This window comes from Homo sapiens, chromosome 12 (genome assembly GCF_000001405.40).
Source record: "Homo sapiens chromosome 12, GRCh38.p14 Primary Assembly".
In the NCBI taxonomy this organism is placed as follows: Eukaryota; Metazoa; Chordata; class Mammalia; order Primates; family Hominidae; genus Homo; species Homo sapiens.
Genome location: NC_000012.12, coordinates 101759475 through 101775519, shown reverse-complemented (window position 1 = coordinate 101775519; position 16045 = coordinate 101759475). Strand labels below are relative to the sequence as shown.

Here is a 16045-nt window from a genome sequence, read left to right as displayed (position 1 = left end):
GATGTGGTGGCGTGTGCCTGTAATCCCAGCTACTCGGGAGGCTAAGGCACGAGAATCACTTGAACCCAGCAGGCAGAGGTTGCAGCAAGCCGAGATGGTGCTACTGCACTCCAGCCTGGCGACAGAGTGAGACTCCGTCTCAAAAAAAAAAAAAGAAAAAAAAGATCTAATAGCTTTGAATTGTTGAATCACTTAAAGGCACTAATTTGGTTTTCAGTTGGTCTTAGCAGACGTGGGGTTTTTTTCCTAACAGATTTTTAATGATTTTAAATCAAATGAATCCAAAATGAAAGTAGATTACACCTTCTGAATTTGTAAGCACTTTAAAGTTGTTGGGAAAATAACTTCTAATAGGAAAGCCTTGTTATTTTGGATTTGCATGTTCTTCTAGACCAAATTTTCTCCACCTTTGCACCATTCACAGTTTAGACCTGTTGCCGCTATCCTTGGGGGACTGTCCTATGTATTGTAGGATGTTTAGCAGCATCCCAGGTCTCTGTCCTTCGGGAGTATTTGCAGATATGTGATTGTTTAGACAACTTGACGCAGCCTTTCTTTTTGGCATTGAAAAATGACCAGTTTGATATCATGATTTTTAACTAAGGCTTATCTTAAAATACTATTTTGTCTGCCTCAAAAGGATACCTTCTCTTTTGCACTCATTATTTTTGCTTGACTTAAAAACATGCATTCAAACTTACCTGTATTTGTTGGCTACTATTGTTTTTAAAGCCAATTTTTAAATATAGGCTACAATGCTGAGAACAGTAGAACGAACTGTTGAATATTCTCACTTATAATAAGCAATATCTTAAAGTGGCTCTATGTATTTTATATTAATATGCTCTAATCTTGCCTTGATAATCATTTATAGAATTTAAAAGTGAAGATTATTTACACTGCTTTTTCAATTCTTATATCTTGTGACTTGGTCAGTTATACTGAATTATACTGAATTTAATACTCCTGGGATTGTTTTATCATCCCTGTCCTATGTGATACACTGTACAAAATGTAAAATGTTAGATTTGCTTCCAATATATACTTACATATGTTCATATTATATCTAGAAGTTTGTGAAGTATCAAGCACTTGAAATCTGGTTTCCATATCTGTCATGCCATTGAAATTGGTCTCCATTGACCTACTAATTACACATTCCACTTAATTTTGTTTCTTGTCCCTTAATTTTGATGCTTGTTGTCTTTAGAAATATACCAGAATTAACATATTTTTCTGAATTAACATTTTTTTCTTGGGTTCTACAACACTGCTTCTCCTGACCATCATCTATATTGTCTTTCCTTGACTCAAATTGATCCACCAGTTGCTCAGTCGTTGTAGCCTACCCAGGCCCTGGCCTCAGCCACCATTTAGTTCTCCCTCTGTCTGTCTTCCCTTGCCTCATACTCCTACAAGTACCAGGTGTATCAGTCATGTTGTTCTAGATGATGCTGCTAGAACAAACATTCTGGAATCTCAATGGCTAAAAACAACAAAGCTTTATTTCTTAGTCATGCTACGTGTTGTTCACTGTGGGTCTGTAGGGAGTGGGTATAGAAGTTGTTCCCTTTTGCAGAAACTTATAATTTATGTAAATTTAAAATTTAAAATAAGATGCCATATATGGAGGCAGTTGCCCACAATTGCCCAAGCCACAAACTCCAGCCTTAGGCACAAACTACAGCTGCTCTTCCCACACTACCTTCTCTCTTCTGACAAAAGTAATGATGATGTCCAGGATTGGGGTGCCACCTAGTGGCTGTCAGAGGGTACTTCCCCACCCTTTTTACAGTGGCAGAAAATCTTTCTCATACATATAAATATTACCTTAACCTCATTAATCTTCATCTCTTTCCGAATTATTGTATAGTTACTATAGACAAACCTCTTCTTGCTCTTTTATGCATATATAATTAGAAACCAACCCTAGGCACTAAAAAGAATAGTTTTAGTGATATACCTTCTTATCAAACAAAGAGCCAACACAAGTTATGAAATTAAACTAGACACACCCCTTCTTCGAGGTTACGCCAAGCCAGTGCCTGGGCCTGAAACTGGCCTGCAGCCCCTCAGCTTCGCCCACTGCCTTCCGACCCTGGACCTTCGCAAAGTGAACGAGCTTCGGGACTTCGTGAAAATGTATAAGCAGGATCCGAGCATTCTGCATACCAAGGAAATGTGCTTTCTGAGGGAGCAGGTGGAGAGCATGGGGGGTGAAGTACCATGTGCTACTCAGAAAGCTATTATAAATCAGAAGAAAATATCAAGGAATTAAAAACAGGTAGTAAGAAGGTGGAGGAAAACATAAGCACAGACGAACTATCAAGTGAGGAAAGTGATCTAGAAATTGATAACGAAGCTGTGATTGAACCAGACACTGATTCCCCTCAAGAAATGGGAGATGGAGGTCAGGCCTGGTGGCTTACGCCTGTAATCCCAGCACTTTGGGAGGCCGAGGCGGGCAGATTGTATGTCAGGAGACCAGCCTGGCCAATGTGATGAAATCCTGCCTCTACTAAAAATACAAAAAATATTAGCTGGGCATGGTGGTGCTTGCCTGTAATCCCAGCTACTCGGGAGTCTGAGGCAGGAGAATCACTTGAACCCGGGAGATGGAGGTTGCAGTGAGCCGAGATCACATCACTGCACTCCAGCCTGCACGACAGAGTCAGACTCCGTCTCAAAAAATAGAAATAAAAATAAGTAAATAAATTGTTCTAGAATAGTGACTTTTTCTCTCCAGGGAGCCCTCAGAAATGCTTTGGGGGTGCTGTGAGAGGGAGGAAAGGGACAGGAAAGGCCAGAGGGTAGACAGGGACCCAGGCAGACTACTAATCCCCCTGTGTGGCCTGCCTCCCAGCACCCGGCACATATGCTGAGGCAAGTTGGTGACTCAGTGAGAACCAACTTAGTGAGTACTAAATATGTGCCAGGCACTCACTAAGTAAAAGAGGTGAAAGTGGTGAGTCAGGAAGACAGTTACATGCATCTGCAGGTGCTCACACATGCACCTGCACCTAATCTGTGAGAAGAGTTAATGGCCTACATCATAAGGGGAAAAGATATAAATGAAATTTCTAACTCTCACCTCTGGTGTTCTGGACTACATACGCTCAGGAAACTGCTTAGAAAATGAGCTAAGAATAGTCATGCAGCAAATAGAAGAGCTCAGAATAAGCTCATAATAAAATTTGTGTTTGCTTTGTTTTATAGATTGAGAAAGAAGACCGTAAGCTCTTTTAGAAGCACTAGTTCAGCAGAAGGATTTTACTGTCCTACATTTGTGGTTTTCAGGCCTCTCCCCTTTTCCTGAGTGATGAAAGCCTCTTCATAGGAAGTTGTGTGATACAGAGTCAGAACAGAAAACAGATAAAGAGTGGTGTGGACTTTCGTAGGGGTGGCAAAGCCTGTTTGTGGAACTTGATGTTTGTGATGTTCACGCTTAGATTTATGATTGCCCCAAAAGCTTTGCCCCAAAAGGTAGTTTTCCCATGGAAGCACTTCAGGCAGTCCTGCCGAAGGTGCTCCTCCCAGGCACGTGGCACAAAAGCTGTTCAGACACCCCACTAGCAGATGTACTTGTCACCAATTCCAGCAAGGTTAATTACATTGCAGATTTTTTGCCCAATATAAGCAGATTGGTAATATTCTAGAAGAAAAGTCACAGAACTGTTGGCCAGCAGGTGTACTTGCAAAGAAGTCAAAAATCATTTGAGCCAACATTGAAAAATTGGGGAGATTTCATACAACAGTTGGGGATTCTTGCCTCTCAGGAGATCTGGCAGCACTTGGTGCCATTGAGTGGTTGCAGCTCTCAGATGGCTCTGAGGTGTCCAGTTTGCCACTGCCTTTACCATTCCTTCTTGTTTTTAGACGCCTATTTTTTTAACATTCATTTGGGAAATGCATCTGGTCTGTGTAGGTCTTTTTGTTGTGTTTTGATATTGTCTTACCATTTCAAGATTAAAGATCAGGCCAGTTGCAGTGGCTCACGCCTGTAATCCCAGCACTTTGGGAGGCCAAGGCAGGTGGATCACCTGAGGTCAGGAGTTGGAGACCAGCGTGGCCAACATGGTGAAACCCTGTCTCTACTAAAAGTACAAAAGTTTGCCGGGCGTGATGATGCAGTCCTGTAGTCCCAGCTACTCAGGAGGCTGAGGCAGGAGAATCGCTTGAACCCGGGAGGCGGAGGTTGAGGTGAGCAGAGATCGTGCCACTGCGCTCCAGCCTGGCGACAGAGCGAGACTGTGTCTCAAAAAAAAAAAAAAAAGGAAAGATTAAAGAGCAGAGTGGGAATTTAAAGGTGCTTCATCCTTGAGATTCAGTCTTTTCATGTGTAATCCTCTTGTTATTTGATAGTTGCAGTTGTATTCAGAGGCCAGTGTAGCGCTTCTAAAACTGAATAACCCCAAGGATTTTCAAGAATTGAATAAGCAAACTAAGAAGAACATGACCATTGATGGAAAAGAACTGACCATAAGTCCTGCATATTTATTATGGGATCTGAGCGCCATCAGCCAGGTAAGGGATGCACAGAAGCTTTTACAGCCCAAATCAAAGGTTAAGATGTTAAAAATGTGTAAGTTACTATATTAGAAGAGGGAAGGGGACTTACAGAGAGGTGAGTTGATTGGAATTTTTCTAATTTTTCAGTCACTGCCATTGGTTTGGTATTAACTGAAGTCACCTAGAATCAGATCCAAGAACCTTCTTCATAAAGTGTGTTATAGAAATGCTGTCTCTTTGAATTTTGGGTTTAAAAATATATATACTGAATCTTTTGCATTTTTTGTAATGTTTAAAATTAGGACTCCATCTTTAAAAGTCTGCCAGAGCACCTTGAGAGCAGACGGGCAGAAGGAAAGGACAAAGAGGAGGAGGTATGACTTAAGGGGTATTTCACATCTTCATATGCCAAGTGTTTTTCTCAGTCTAAGCAGGATGAAGACATCTCTGCCAGTCGTTTTGAAGATAACGAAGAACTGAGGTACTCATTGCGATCTATCGAGAGGCATGCACCATGGGTTCGGAATATTTTCATTGTCACCAACGGGCAGATTCCATCCTGGCTGAACCTTGACAATCCTCGAGTGACAATAGTAACACACCAGGTACAGGACTTTCTAAAAATTACAAGACTGTGATTTCTAATTCTGCTCTTTTAGTGTGGTACAGGGATTTCCATAATTTCATTCCCTTTACCCTTCTACCTCCATTTCTTCCTTTCTCTAGCTCTTCATTGCCTTCCCTTCCTTCCTTTCAAAAACTAAACCAAACCCAAACAGCTCTCATTCACTCTCTTTTTTTGTTTGTTGTTGTTAAAAGGATGTTTTTCGAAATTTGAGCCACTTGCCTACCTTTAGTTCACCTGCTATTGAAAGTCACATTCATCGCATCGAAGGGCTGTCCCAGAAGTTTATTTACCTAAATGATGATGTCATGTTTGGGAAGGATGTCTGGCCAGATGATTTTTACAGTCACTCCAAAGGCCAGAAGGTGAGTGCCTAAGAGGAGGGGGGTTGTCTAGCGTGGAAGTCACTTAGCAAATCAGAAAATGAGTGCACATACTACTGTAGTCAAATATCAGGCCAGACATGGTGGCTCACACCTGTAATCCCAGTACTTTGGGAGGCGGAGGTGGGTGGATCACTTGACCACCTAGGGGTTTGAGACCAGCTTGGGAAGCATAGTGAGACCCCTGTCTTTACAAAAAGTAAAATAATTATCTGGGCCCGGTGGAATACTCATGTAGTCCCAGCTGCTTGGGTGTTGGGGGGCCGTGGGGGGAGTAGGGGGTCACTGGCCAAGATGGGAAGATTGCTTTAGCCTGAATGTTGAGGCTGCAGTGAGCTGTGATTGTGCCACTGCACCCCAGCTTGGGTGACAGAGTGAGAACCGGATCTTGAAAAATAAAAAAATATATATAGATATATGAGATCAAATAATCATTTTTGAGTGCTAAGCTCAGAAATCAGCAATTAAGAAGTAAGAACACTACAGTTAGAAATTTGCTTTCCTGCATTCTTAGACACCCAGGACCCACACTTTTTCCCAACCATCTCAATTTTCTACTACGATAGCAGAAAAAGCAAAATCACTGTGAAACAGACAATCATGGTTAGAATATCAGCAAAATGGCCAAAATAGAAAGTTAACTCAAGTTAGTGCTTAAAGCTATAGATGTAATTTCATTTAAGGTAGCCTGTTGCACTCTAACTTTGTGAGAGGTGGGATGGAGAAGTGGTTAAGAGTACAGACTTAGGGGCCAACTCTTCAGGATGACCTTGGGCAGTGGCTCTACCTCTGTGTTTTCTGGCATAGTGAGGAAAGTACAAATACCCTTGTAGCGTTGTTAGAAGGGTTCAGTGATAAGTTAGAGACTTATCACCGTAAACTTAGAAGTTATAAAACTCTGCAACTGTAAGTGCTAATAACACAAAACTACTTTGTCTGTAATTGTTTATGCTACCCAACCAGGCCCATTCTCCTGTTCCCCTATTGAGTTGTCTCCTCTGTATCAGACTGTAGGGCTCAAAGTTGAGCTTGTGGCTTAACAAGGGGACAAACAAGATCAATGACTGTGTGGTGCTTTTCCTGCTGACAGGTGTGCCTTGGTGCTGAGGAGTGTGAGCAAAGGAGGCTTAAATCAGATAGGATAGGGAAGAAAGCCCATCTGAATTGACATGTACTGAGAAGAACAAGTAAGAATTAGTTTAGGTTAAAAAAGACATTCCAATTAGAATATGCAAAGGCACAGAGATTTTTAAAGAGGAGTGTATTTTTTTTCAATGATTTTAAATTTGAAAAACCATGTACCCCATCACTAATTCTGAGAGCAGGTGAATGCACAGCTCAGAATGCTATGCCAGTTAATTTATCACAGGGCCTTAAGCTTGAAGAGAGAGGATATTGTCTCTCAGCCTTGAGACAAGATTATGCACAAATACACTAATGAGCTACTGATAGTTACAGAAAAGCAGTGACTGTGCATACTTCCCACCAGCTTTGACATGCTTTGGTACTTGCAGTCAAGTCTGGCATGGTGCTACTTTATTTCATAGTAGATTATCAAAGCATGTTATGAGAGACTAATCCATGAGTTGAATCCTTGTCTGCTTTCCTTGAGTAATGGAAAAAAAGTAAATACGCTCAGTAAGAACGGTCAACGCAGCAGGATCTAAACAATGACTGTAGGTACAGGCAAACTTAAAGCACTTGTGAGTGTGAACGCTGAGCCCTTTGAAAATTTTAATCTTTCTAGAGACTTAATTTCTTTTTATAAAGGGAATCTTAACTCAAGAATAAAATGTATCAGAAGCCAGAAGTCATTTTATTTTCTCTTTGGTTTTATCGTAGGTTTATTTGACATGGCCTGTGCCAAACTGTGCCGAGGGCTGCCCAGGTTCCTGGATTAAGGATGGCTATTGTGACAAGGCTTGTAATAATTCAGCCTGCGATTGGGATGGTGGGGATTGCTCTGGTAAGGATGTGTTAAACTGTAATTCGTTCATTTTTATGGAATATTTTCTTCTTAATCATTATTGAACATGTGCTATAGACTTAACCAAACATTCTTTATGTATTAATAAAGAATCAGTAATGCTGGGCATGGTGGCTCATGCTTATAATCCAGTGCTTTGCAAAGCTGAGCTGGGAGGAGTGCTTGAGGCCAGGAGTTCAAGACCAGCTTGGGCAACATAGTAAGACCCCATCTCTATCAAAAAAAATTAGCCAAGTGTGGTGGTGCAAACCTGTAGTCCTAGCTACTTGGGAGGCTAAGGCAAGAGGATCATTTGAGCCTAGGAGTTAGAGGCTGCTGTGAGCTGTGATTGCACCATTGTACTCTAACCTGGGCGGCAGAGTGACAGCCTCTCTCAAAACAAACAAATCAGTAATCAATGGACTCTTTGGAGGTGGTAATTAGTGCCCTCATGTGGCCCAGTTTATTCATTGTTGAGGGCATTGAACAAGAGAAAATACACTTGAAAATGTCTTCTTATTTAAAATATGAAAATCTGGAATACACTTATATAAATCCAAGAGCAAGAATCACTCTAACTGGTTCTTATAGGAGCTCACTGCTGGTAGCTTTCAGCAGCAGATTGTGATAGGTCACAGAATTACTAAAGAGTTGCAAAAGAAATAAGTATTTTCTCTCCTCAGCAGCTCTTCCCTCTCCCTCACATAGTTATATTTTGACTTGTTGATAATAGCAATTTGTTACATTTACTTACTACCTTTCAATTTATAAAGCATTAAATTTATAGAGCATTATTCATTATATTCACTTGAATTGTGTTTGTTACCTGAGAGAGAGAGAGAGTAAGTATGTACACAAATGTTATCATCCCCATTTCCATATGAAGAAATGGATTTGGAAATGTTTGAATATTGGAGAAAACAAAGCTTCAAGTTGTATTTCAGTCAGATATGTCAGATGCGCTTTAGCTGAGGAGAGAGAATACAGATGTGCAAAGTAGATCTGTGTAGACCAGAGAAGTCAGTCTCTACTGGAACATTAGCATTTGATAACAAGGGGTATCAAACATGTTACCCACGTTTGGACATGTTTTTGGCAGTTCTGATAGTCACAGTCTTTGGAATAATCTCTTCTTGTTTTCGTGCTCCTCCATTTCTGTCAGCACGTGCCCCTTGAGCAAATGTAAGCCCTGTACTTGTAGGTTGCACAGCTACAAAATGCCAGGGCCTGTTCATCACGCTTCTGTCAAGTGACTCCCTTTTACGTTTATTTTCTTCTTAAGGTATATGAGATCTTCTACTAAAGAATGAGGTGAACCTTTTCTGACTAAAACTTACACATCAACCTTGAAAACATCAATATGAAATAAGGAACTGTCTTTTTCGTTTTTTGTTTTTTGAGACGGAGTTTCACTCTTGTTGCCCAGGCTGGAGTGCAGTGGTGTAATCTTGGCTCAGTGCAACCTCCGCCTCCCGGGTTCAAGCAATTCTCCTGCCTCAGCCTCCCAAGTAGTTGGGATTACAGGCGCCCACCACCACGCCCAGCTAATTTTTGTGTTTTTAGCAGAGATGGGGTTTTACCATGTTGGCCAGGCTGGTCTCAAACTCCTGACCTCAGGTGATCCAGCCTCCTCTGCCTCCCAAAGTGTTGAGATTACAGGCGTCAGCCACCACACCCAGTCCAGAACTGTCTTTCAAAATTGTAATTACAGCAAGAATCCCTCTTCTTCCTCCGATCTACAGGAAACAGTGGAGGGAGTCGCTATATTGCAGGAGGTGGAGGTACTGGGAGTATTGGAGTTGGACAGCCCTGGCAGTTTGGTGGAGGAATAAACAGTGTCTCTTACTGTAATCAGGGATGTGCGAATTCCTGGCTCGCTGATAAGTTCTGTGACCAAGCATGCAATGTCTTGTCCTGTGGGTTTGATGCTGGCGACTGTGGGCAAGGTATGTTTACTGCCAAACAAATAAGAATGGGAGCATAAAACATCCTTGACAGGTAGAGAGAGTTTTGAATGGCTTTTGTTATTTAAAATAATGATTCTCTGTGTATCCCTTTACCAGCCTTGCATTCAAACTAGTTATGAAAGTAAGAGAACAACATAAATCACTGAAGAGGATCTTTTCCTGTTATTGTTGCAGTCTGGTGTTTTGTTTTGTTTTGTTTTGTTTGGACCAAGCAGATTTACCTTAGCTGAAAATATGTGGTGAAGTTTTAATTTGGAAACAAAAAAGGATATCAATAATTCATTAAATAAAGATGGTTCAAACACTGGATTTTGTTGATAGCGTATTAATGGAGTTTGTTTTGGCAGAAAGTTTTTTTCAAATGGATAAAAAGATGGAAATTGATTATTGTAATTTATTGTTAAGAACCATGCCATATCTCTATAGTGAGTCAGGATCACTATTTCATGGTAATTATTGTGACTGCCTCAGATAGTGAAATAAGCCCTATACCAGTAACTGTTGTATTAGGATATCTGATTATTTTGAAATTAAAGTCACTCTTAGAAAGTGAAAACTCAGTGCCTACTTCAGCAGCACATATACTAAAATTAGAACAGTTTAGGCATTAGCATGGCCCCTGCACAAGGACGACATGCAAATTCATGATGCATTCCCTATTATTTTTTTTAAAAGAAAGTGAAAACTCAGACTCAAAGAATTAAAGGAAAACAGAGGAAAAATGCCCAGTTAAAAAAAAAATCATGTTTCTGTTTTTTCCTCTAGATCATTTTCATGAATTGTATAAAGTGATCCTTCTCCCAAACCAGACTCACTATATTATTCCAAAAGGTGAATGCCTGCCTTATTTCAGCTTTGCAGAAGTAGCCAAAAGAGGAGTTGAAGGTGCCTATAGTGACAATCCAATAATTCGACATGCTTCTATTGCCAACAAGTGGAAAACCATCCACCTCATAATGCACAGTGGAATGAATGCCACCACAATACATTTTAATCTCACGTTTCAAAATACAAACGATGAAGAGTTCAAAATGCAGATAACAGTGGAGGTGGACACAAGGGAGGGACCAAAACTGAATTCTACAGCCCAGAAGGGTTACGAAAATTTAGTTAGTCCCATAACACTTCTTCCAGAGGCGGAAATCCTTTTTGAGGATATTCCCAAAGAAAAACGCTTCCCGAAGTTTAAGAGACATGATGTTAACTCAACAAGGAGAGCCCAGGAAGAGGTGAAAATTCCCCTGGTAAATATTTCACTCCTTCCAAAAGACGCCCAGTTGAGTCTCAATACCTTGGATTTGCAACTGGAACATGGAGACATCACTTTGAAAGGATACAATTTGTCCAAGTCAGCCTTGCTGAGATCATTTCTGATGAACTCACAGCATGCTAAAATAAAAAATCAAGCTATAATAACAGATGAAACAAATGACAGTTTGGTGGCTCCACAGGAAAAACAGGTTCATAAAAGCATCTTGCCAAACAGCTTAGGAGTGTCTGAAAGATTGCAGAGGTTGACTTTTCCTGCAGTGAGTGTAAAAGTGAATGGTCATGACCAGGGTCAGAATCCACCCCTGGACTTGGAGACCACAGCAAGATTTAGAGTGGAAACTCACACCCAAAAAACCATAGGCGGAAATGTGACAAAAGAAAAGCCCCCATCTCTGATTGTTCCACTGGAAAGCCAGATGACAAAAGAAAAGAAAATCACAGGGAAAGAAAAAGAGAACAGTAGAATGGAGGAAAATGCTGAAAATCACATAGGCGTTACTGAAGTGTTACTTGGAAGAAAGCTGCAGCATTACACAGATAGTTACTTGGGCTTTTTGCCATGGGAGAAAAAAAAGTATTTCCAAGATCTTCTCGACGTAAGTAACATCCAGCCTCATTCTTTCTCATGCTCAGGAAGAGTAAATAATCTCATGATAATATCATTATAGCTACCATTTATTCAGCACTTCCCTGTGCCGGCCATGGAACTAAATGCTTTTCTTACATGGTTTCATTTAATTTACCCAATAACCCTAATAATAAAAAATGTCATATGAAGGTATTTATTATTGCTGTCCCCATTTTGTAGTTTAGGAAACAGCCCAAGTGTGAATGAGTAAGGGATTTAGCCAGGGGCGTACTTGGAGGAAGGAGAGTGGGAAGTGGCATGTTGTCTTGTCTTGACATTTCAGATATGGTATTTTTCCAGCTTTACTGATGAAAAACCCTGAAGTTCAATTAAGTTCATTCGCTTCCCCAACATTATAACAGCAAATCAGTGTGAGCCAAGCCTCAAAGTTGGACTGCTCGTTGCCCTGTACCATGGCTTCACTGTGCTGTGGTGTCATCTGTACCTCTCCTCAGTGCTCTCACGGTGCTAACCACTGGGGAATGCAAGATGACGGGAACATAGCCACTGCTCATGTGGAAACTCAGGGACCAGTAGAGAAGACAAATTTGTGGGGAGAAAACTGTAGCAAAGAGATGTGTCTGTGTTGAGATATGGGCAAGAAGTTCAGAGGGAGGACTCCTTAGCTCTGCCTAGAAGTACTAGGGAAGGCATACAGAAGGAAGTGCCCTGTGGACTGACCTTCGAAGGGGTGGGAGTTGACAGACCAAAAAAAAAAATCATACAGTCTGGGCTGAATAGTGAAGGCACACAGCCACGAGTGGGTGTTAGGCTGGGAGAAAAGAGAGTGAAGGAGGAACTATGTCCTCAGCATTTTAGGAAGTATCTTGTGCCTTGCACATGAGGCATTTACAGATTGTCTAGTGAAGGACTGCAGTGTTCTTGACTATGTTTATTTCCTCAGTTTCCCCCATTTTCTTTCCTTTCCTTTCTTTTTTTTTTTTTTTTGAGATGGAGTTTCGCTCTTTTTCCCAAGCTGGAGTGCAATGGCGTGATCTCGGCTCACTGCAGTCTTTGCCTCCCAGGTTCAAGAGATTCTCCTGTCTCAGCCTCCTGAGTGGCTGGGATTACAGGCATGTGCCAGCATGCCTGGCCAATTTTTTGTATTTTTAGTGGAGACGGGGTTTCACCATGTTAGCCAGGCTGGTCTCGAACTCCTGACTTAAGGTGATCCGCCCGCCTCGGCCTCCCAAAGTGCTGGGATTACAGGCGTGAGCCACTGTGCCTGGCCTCTGGCCTCTTTCCTTTTTTTTTTTTTTTTTTTTTAAATTTACAAAAGCATTATAGGCTAGTAGTAAAAATTGCAAACAATTCAAAAATATACAGTAAATAAAGGAAAGTTCTTCCTTCTTCAGTCTCCTTCCCGGAGATAATTGCTGTTAATAGTTTGATGGGTATTCTTCCAGTATTTTTCTATAGCTATGCAAACATACCTATATGTATGTATAGTTATATATAGAGAAATATATGTATAGTGTAAATTTACATATATTTCCCTGCAGTTGCCTTTTGATGTAGTAGGATGTGGGCAAATGCCATTATTTATTTATTTATTTATACCCATGCCAGTGCCATTATTCTTTTTAATGGCTGCAGGTTAGTTATTTCCAATGTTTTGTGATTACAAATAGTGTTGCAGTGAATTCTCTTGTACATATATCTTACATTTCAGTGAGTTTTAGTTCTGCAGGTAGAATTACTAGCTTAGCAGGTATAAACTTTAAATATGTCTTTCTGAAATGTTGCACCACTTCATATTTCCACAAACAGTATACAACAGTGCTTGTTTCACTGCAGTCTAACCAACACCAGTTAATATCAGTCTCCTTACATTTTTATTTTTATCAGTTTGAGAAGCAAAAATATTTCTGTAAAGTGTTTGAATGCTTTGCCAATTTTCTTTGCCTATTTAGTTCTGCCACTGACTGGTTTTGATTTTATAATATTAAAACTATTATAAGATGAAACCAAATTTGTTTCTAGTCCTTGCGCTTAAAACTCAAGGACTTGCACATTTGATATCACCTGCAGAAATAGCTTGATATTGAAAGTACTATCAAATGTATATGTACATAAATTTTCTAAATGTTGCATTGAATTAGCTTTGACATCTCACAGTCAGTGACCAGTCCTTGAAGAATACCCTCCATATGTGACTGTTGTTATGTAGATCTCCATCGTACAGCTGTTGTTCTCAAACCAACATTGGTGATACTTGCACTGAAATCCAGTTGAGTCCTGCTAAGTCCAGTTTAGATCCTTAAAGTGACCCGTTAACATGTATTTCATTTGCTCCTAATGAAGAGTTCGTGACTAGTTATTACCACATTATATAAAATGTCTTGTAACAAAGTACACTTGTGCACTAAACATAATGCTGAGTTACATGTAGAATTCTCTTTTCAGGAAGAAGAGTCATTGAAGACACAATTGGCATACTTCACTGATAGCAAAAATACTGGGAGGCAACTAAAAGATACATTTGCAGATTCCCTCAGATATGTAAATAAAATTCTAAATAGCAAGTTTGGATTCACATCGCGGAAAGTCCCTGCTCACATGCCTCACATGATTGACCGGATTGTTATGCAAGAACTGCAAGATATGTAAGTCTTGCTCGTGTTTGAGTTGTTTGCTTGTGTTCAGAACTAAGGCTACTTGAAATGTGCATATTTACCATGCTAAATTTATAGCTCTAATATTTGATGACTAATATGTTAAAGGTATTATCTAAGTGAGAAAGAAAAAAGTCCATCTCTGCAAATGTTAGATACGGTACATACTTTGAATATCCAGAGTTTGTAATATGTTATATTTGGACAGGTTCCCTGAAGAATTTGACAAGACGTCATTTCACAAAGTGCGCCATTCTGAGGATATGCAGTTTGCCTTCTCTTATTTTTATTATCTCATGAGTGCAGTGCAGCCACTGAATATATCTCAAGTCTTTGATGAAGTTGATACAGATCAATCTGGTGTCTTGTCTGACAGAGAAATCCGAACACTGGCTACCAGAATTCACGAACTGCCGTTAAGTTTGCAGGTGTTGTATTGTCTTATTCTAAACTTTTTGATGTTTTAAATGAGAATTTAATTCTGGTCAGGCGCAGTGGCTCACACCTGTAATCCCAGCACTTTGGGATGCTGAGGCAGCTGAGCTCAGGAGTTCGAGACCAACCTGGGCAACACGGTGAAACCCCGTCTCTACTAAAAATACAAAAAATTAGCCGGATGTGGTGGCATGCGCCTGTCATTCCAGCTACTTGGGAGGCTGAGACAGGAGAAACGCTTCACCCTGGGAGGTGGAGGTTGCAGTGAGCCAAGATTGCGCCACTGCACTCCAGCCTGGGCAACAGAGTGAGACTCTGTCTCAAAAAAAAAAAAAAAAGAAAAGAAAATTTTAATTCTGACCATGTCTCTTTTTCCCCTACGTATTTTAATTTATTGCAAGTAAAAATAATTCTTAATATTTACTGTGGGTATTCATAGCTAGTCTGTTTTAGTGCTAGAATTATAACCAAATTTGGGGTTTGTATTTTATGAAATTACTTTTTGCAGGTTTTCAGTAGGGATTGATCTTGTATTGTCTGGAAAAGAGCCAGACCATACCTGCATATGAGATTCTTGTGGTATATTCATTCTAGGACTTCAGGTGTGGCTAGCTGGAGATCTCAGCTAGCCCCTCCTTCATGGCATCCTCTAGTCCCAGGAGTAGGAAACTCACTAATGGAGGTGCCCAGATGAATCTAGCTGCAGGGCATGATTTCTCCTGAGCCCTGGACCACCTTGTGTAAATGGGTATCTCAGAGGCCAGAATGTTCTTTGAGATGAAGATGAAATATTTTTGTTGGCATTGTCTCATTCTGCTCTTCTTAGAGTGCCTTTATCTTAAGAATCATATAGTCAGACTCTCTTTGAAGATAGCATTTAAACCATTTTTGGAAGCTTTCACTTAATTTTTATTTTTAAAACCACAGTCATTACTTACAATGCGCATAACAGATTTATCATCTTTTTCTTTGTTAGGATTTGACAGGTCTGGAACACATGCTAATAAATTGCTCAAAAATGCTTCCTGCTGATATCACGCAGCTAAATAATATTCCACCAACTCAGGAATCCTACTATGATCCCAACCTGGTAAGTGGAATGGGTTACTTTTATGTACAACAGAAAGTACATCCTTATCAAGTGTTACTTACAGCATTTCTGTATAGCACTTCAGAACTAGCAGCAGGCTCTATGGTTTTATATGTCTTTGTTGCAAAACAGTAGCACAGGTAATCCGAATCATTCATAGCTTGCTTTGGAATCTTACTGTTCACCCCATAGATGCGTAATTTGGATTTGTTGCTTATATTCCATAAGCGGATGTCCTGTTTACTAAGGGTGACAGAAAATAGCCCCAGAGTATTCTCATTGGCCAGAGAGAACAATCCTGAGGTTTAACCATCAAGGAAATATTCATCACATGGAATATCATCGTTCATCAAAGCTGAATTGCTTTAATGCTGGCACTTACTCCATTTTACCAGTAGGGGCAGTGGGTGATTAACACACGACTGCATTGGAATGTCATTTGGCTGAAATAATTGAAAGAGTATAGATTATAAGAGACATTTTAGTTTCAGAGAGGTTATAATGTGAAGAAAATCATAGAATTGATGAAATGAATATAATACAGCCATTAATCTG

General features: G+C 40.2%; 1 protein-coding gene and 2 pseudogenes across 3 annotated transcripts in view, besides 2 other annotated features; all 3 read left to right on the top strand.

Moving 5' to 3' along the window:
- The window catches only part of GNPTAB (N-acetylglucosamine-1-phosphate transferase subunits alpha and beta), an 85461-nt gene that overhangs the window by 55440 nt on the left and 13976 nt on the right, over window positions 1–16045 (top strand). For all 3 annotated transcript variants that reach the window (NM_024312.5, XM_011538731.3, XM_006719593.4), the window contains exons 8-16: window positions 4363–4524; window positions 4935–5114; window positions 5329–5499; window positions 7360–7483; window positions 9226–9429; window positions 10216–11318; window positions 13757–13956; window positions 14174–14393; window positions 15377–15490. In NM_024312.5, coding sequence (NP_077288.2) covers window positions 4363–4524; window positions 4935–5114; window positions 5329–5499; window positions 7360–7483; window positions 9226–9429; window positions 10216–11318; window positions 13757–13956; window positions 14174–14393; window positions 15377–15490 — 2478 coding nt within the window. The remainder of the gene's footprint in view (window positions 1–4362; window positions 4525–4934; window positions 5115–5328; window positions 5500–7359; window positions 7484–9225; window positions 9430–10215; window positions 11319–13756; window positions 13957–14173; window positions 14394–15376; window positions 15491–16045) is intronic.
- Window positions 2015–2407, top strand: ST13P22 (ST13, Hsp70 interacting protein pseudogene 22; annotated as a pseudogene).
- Window positions 7850–8019: an enhancer, noted in NCBI's record as "experimental_22731 CRE fragment used in MPRA reporter constructs". NCBI's record gives its function as "activates a minimal promoter by MPRAs in K562 erythroleukemia cells, with activity observed for the non-introgressed 12:102161364 or rs11111012 variant allele {active_cell/tissue: K562}" and the evidence as "EXISTENCE:reporter gene assay evidence [ECO:0000049][PMID:34662402]".
- Window position 7934: a transcriptional cis regulatory region, noted in NCBI's record as "Neanderthal adaptively introgressed variant 12:102161364 (GRCh37/hg19 assembly coordinates) or rs11111012 in the experimental_22731 CRE". NCBI's record gives its function as "modulates activity of the experimental_22731 enhancer by MPRAs in K562 erythroleukemia cells {active_cell/tissue: K562}" and the evidence as "EXISTENCE:reporter gene assay evidence [ECO:0000049][PMID:34662402]".
- RNU6-101P (RNA, U6 small nuclear 101, pseudogene) lies at window positions 10011–10114 on the top strand (annotated as a pseudogene).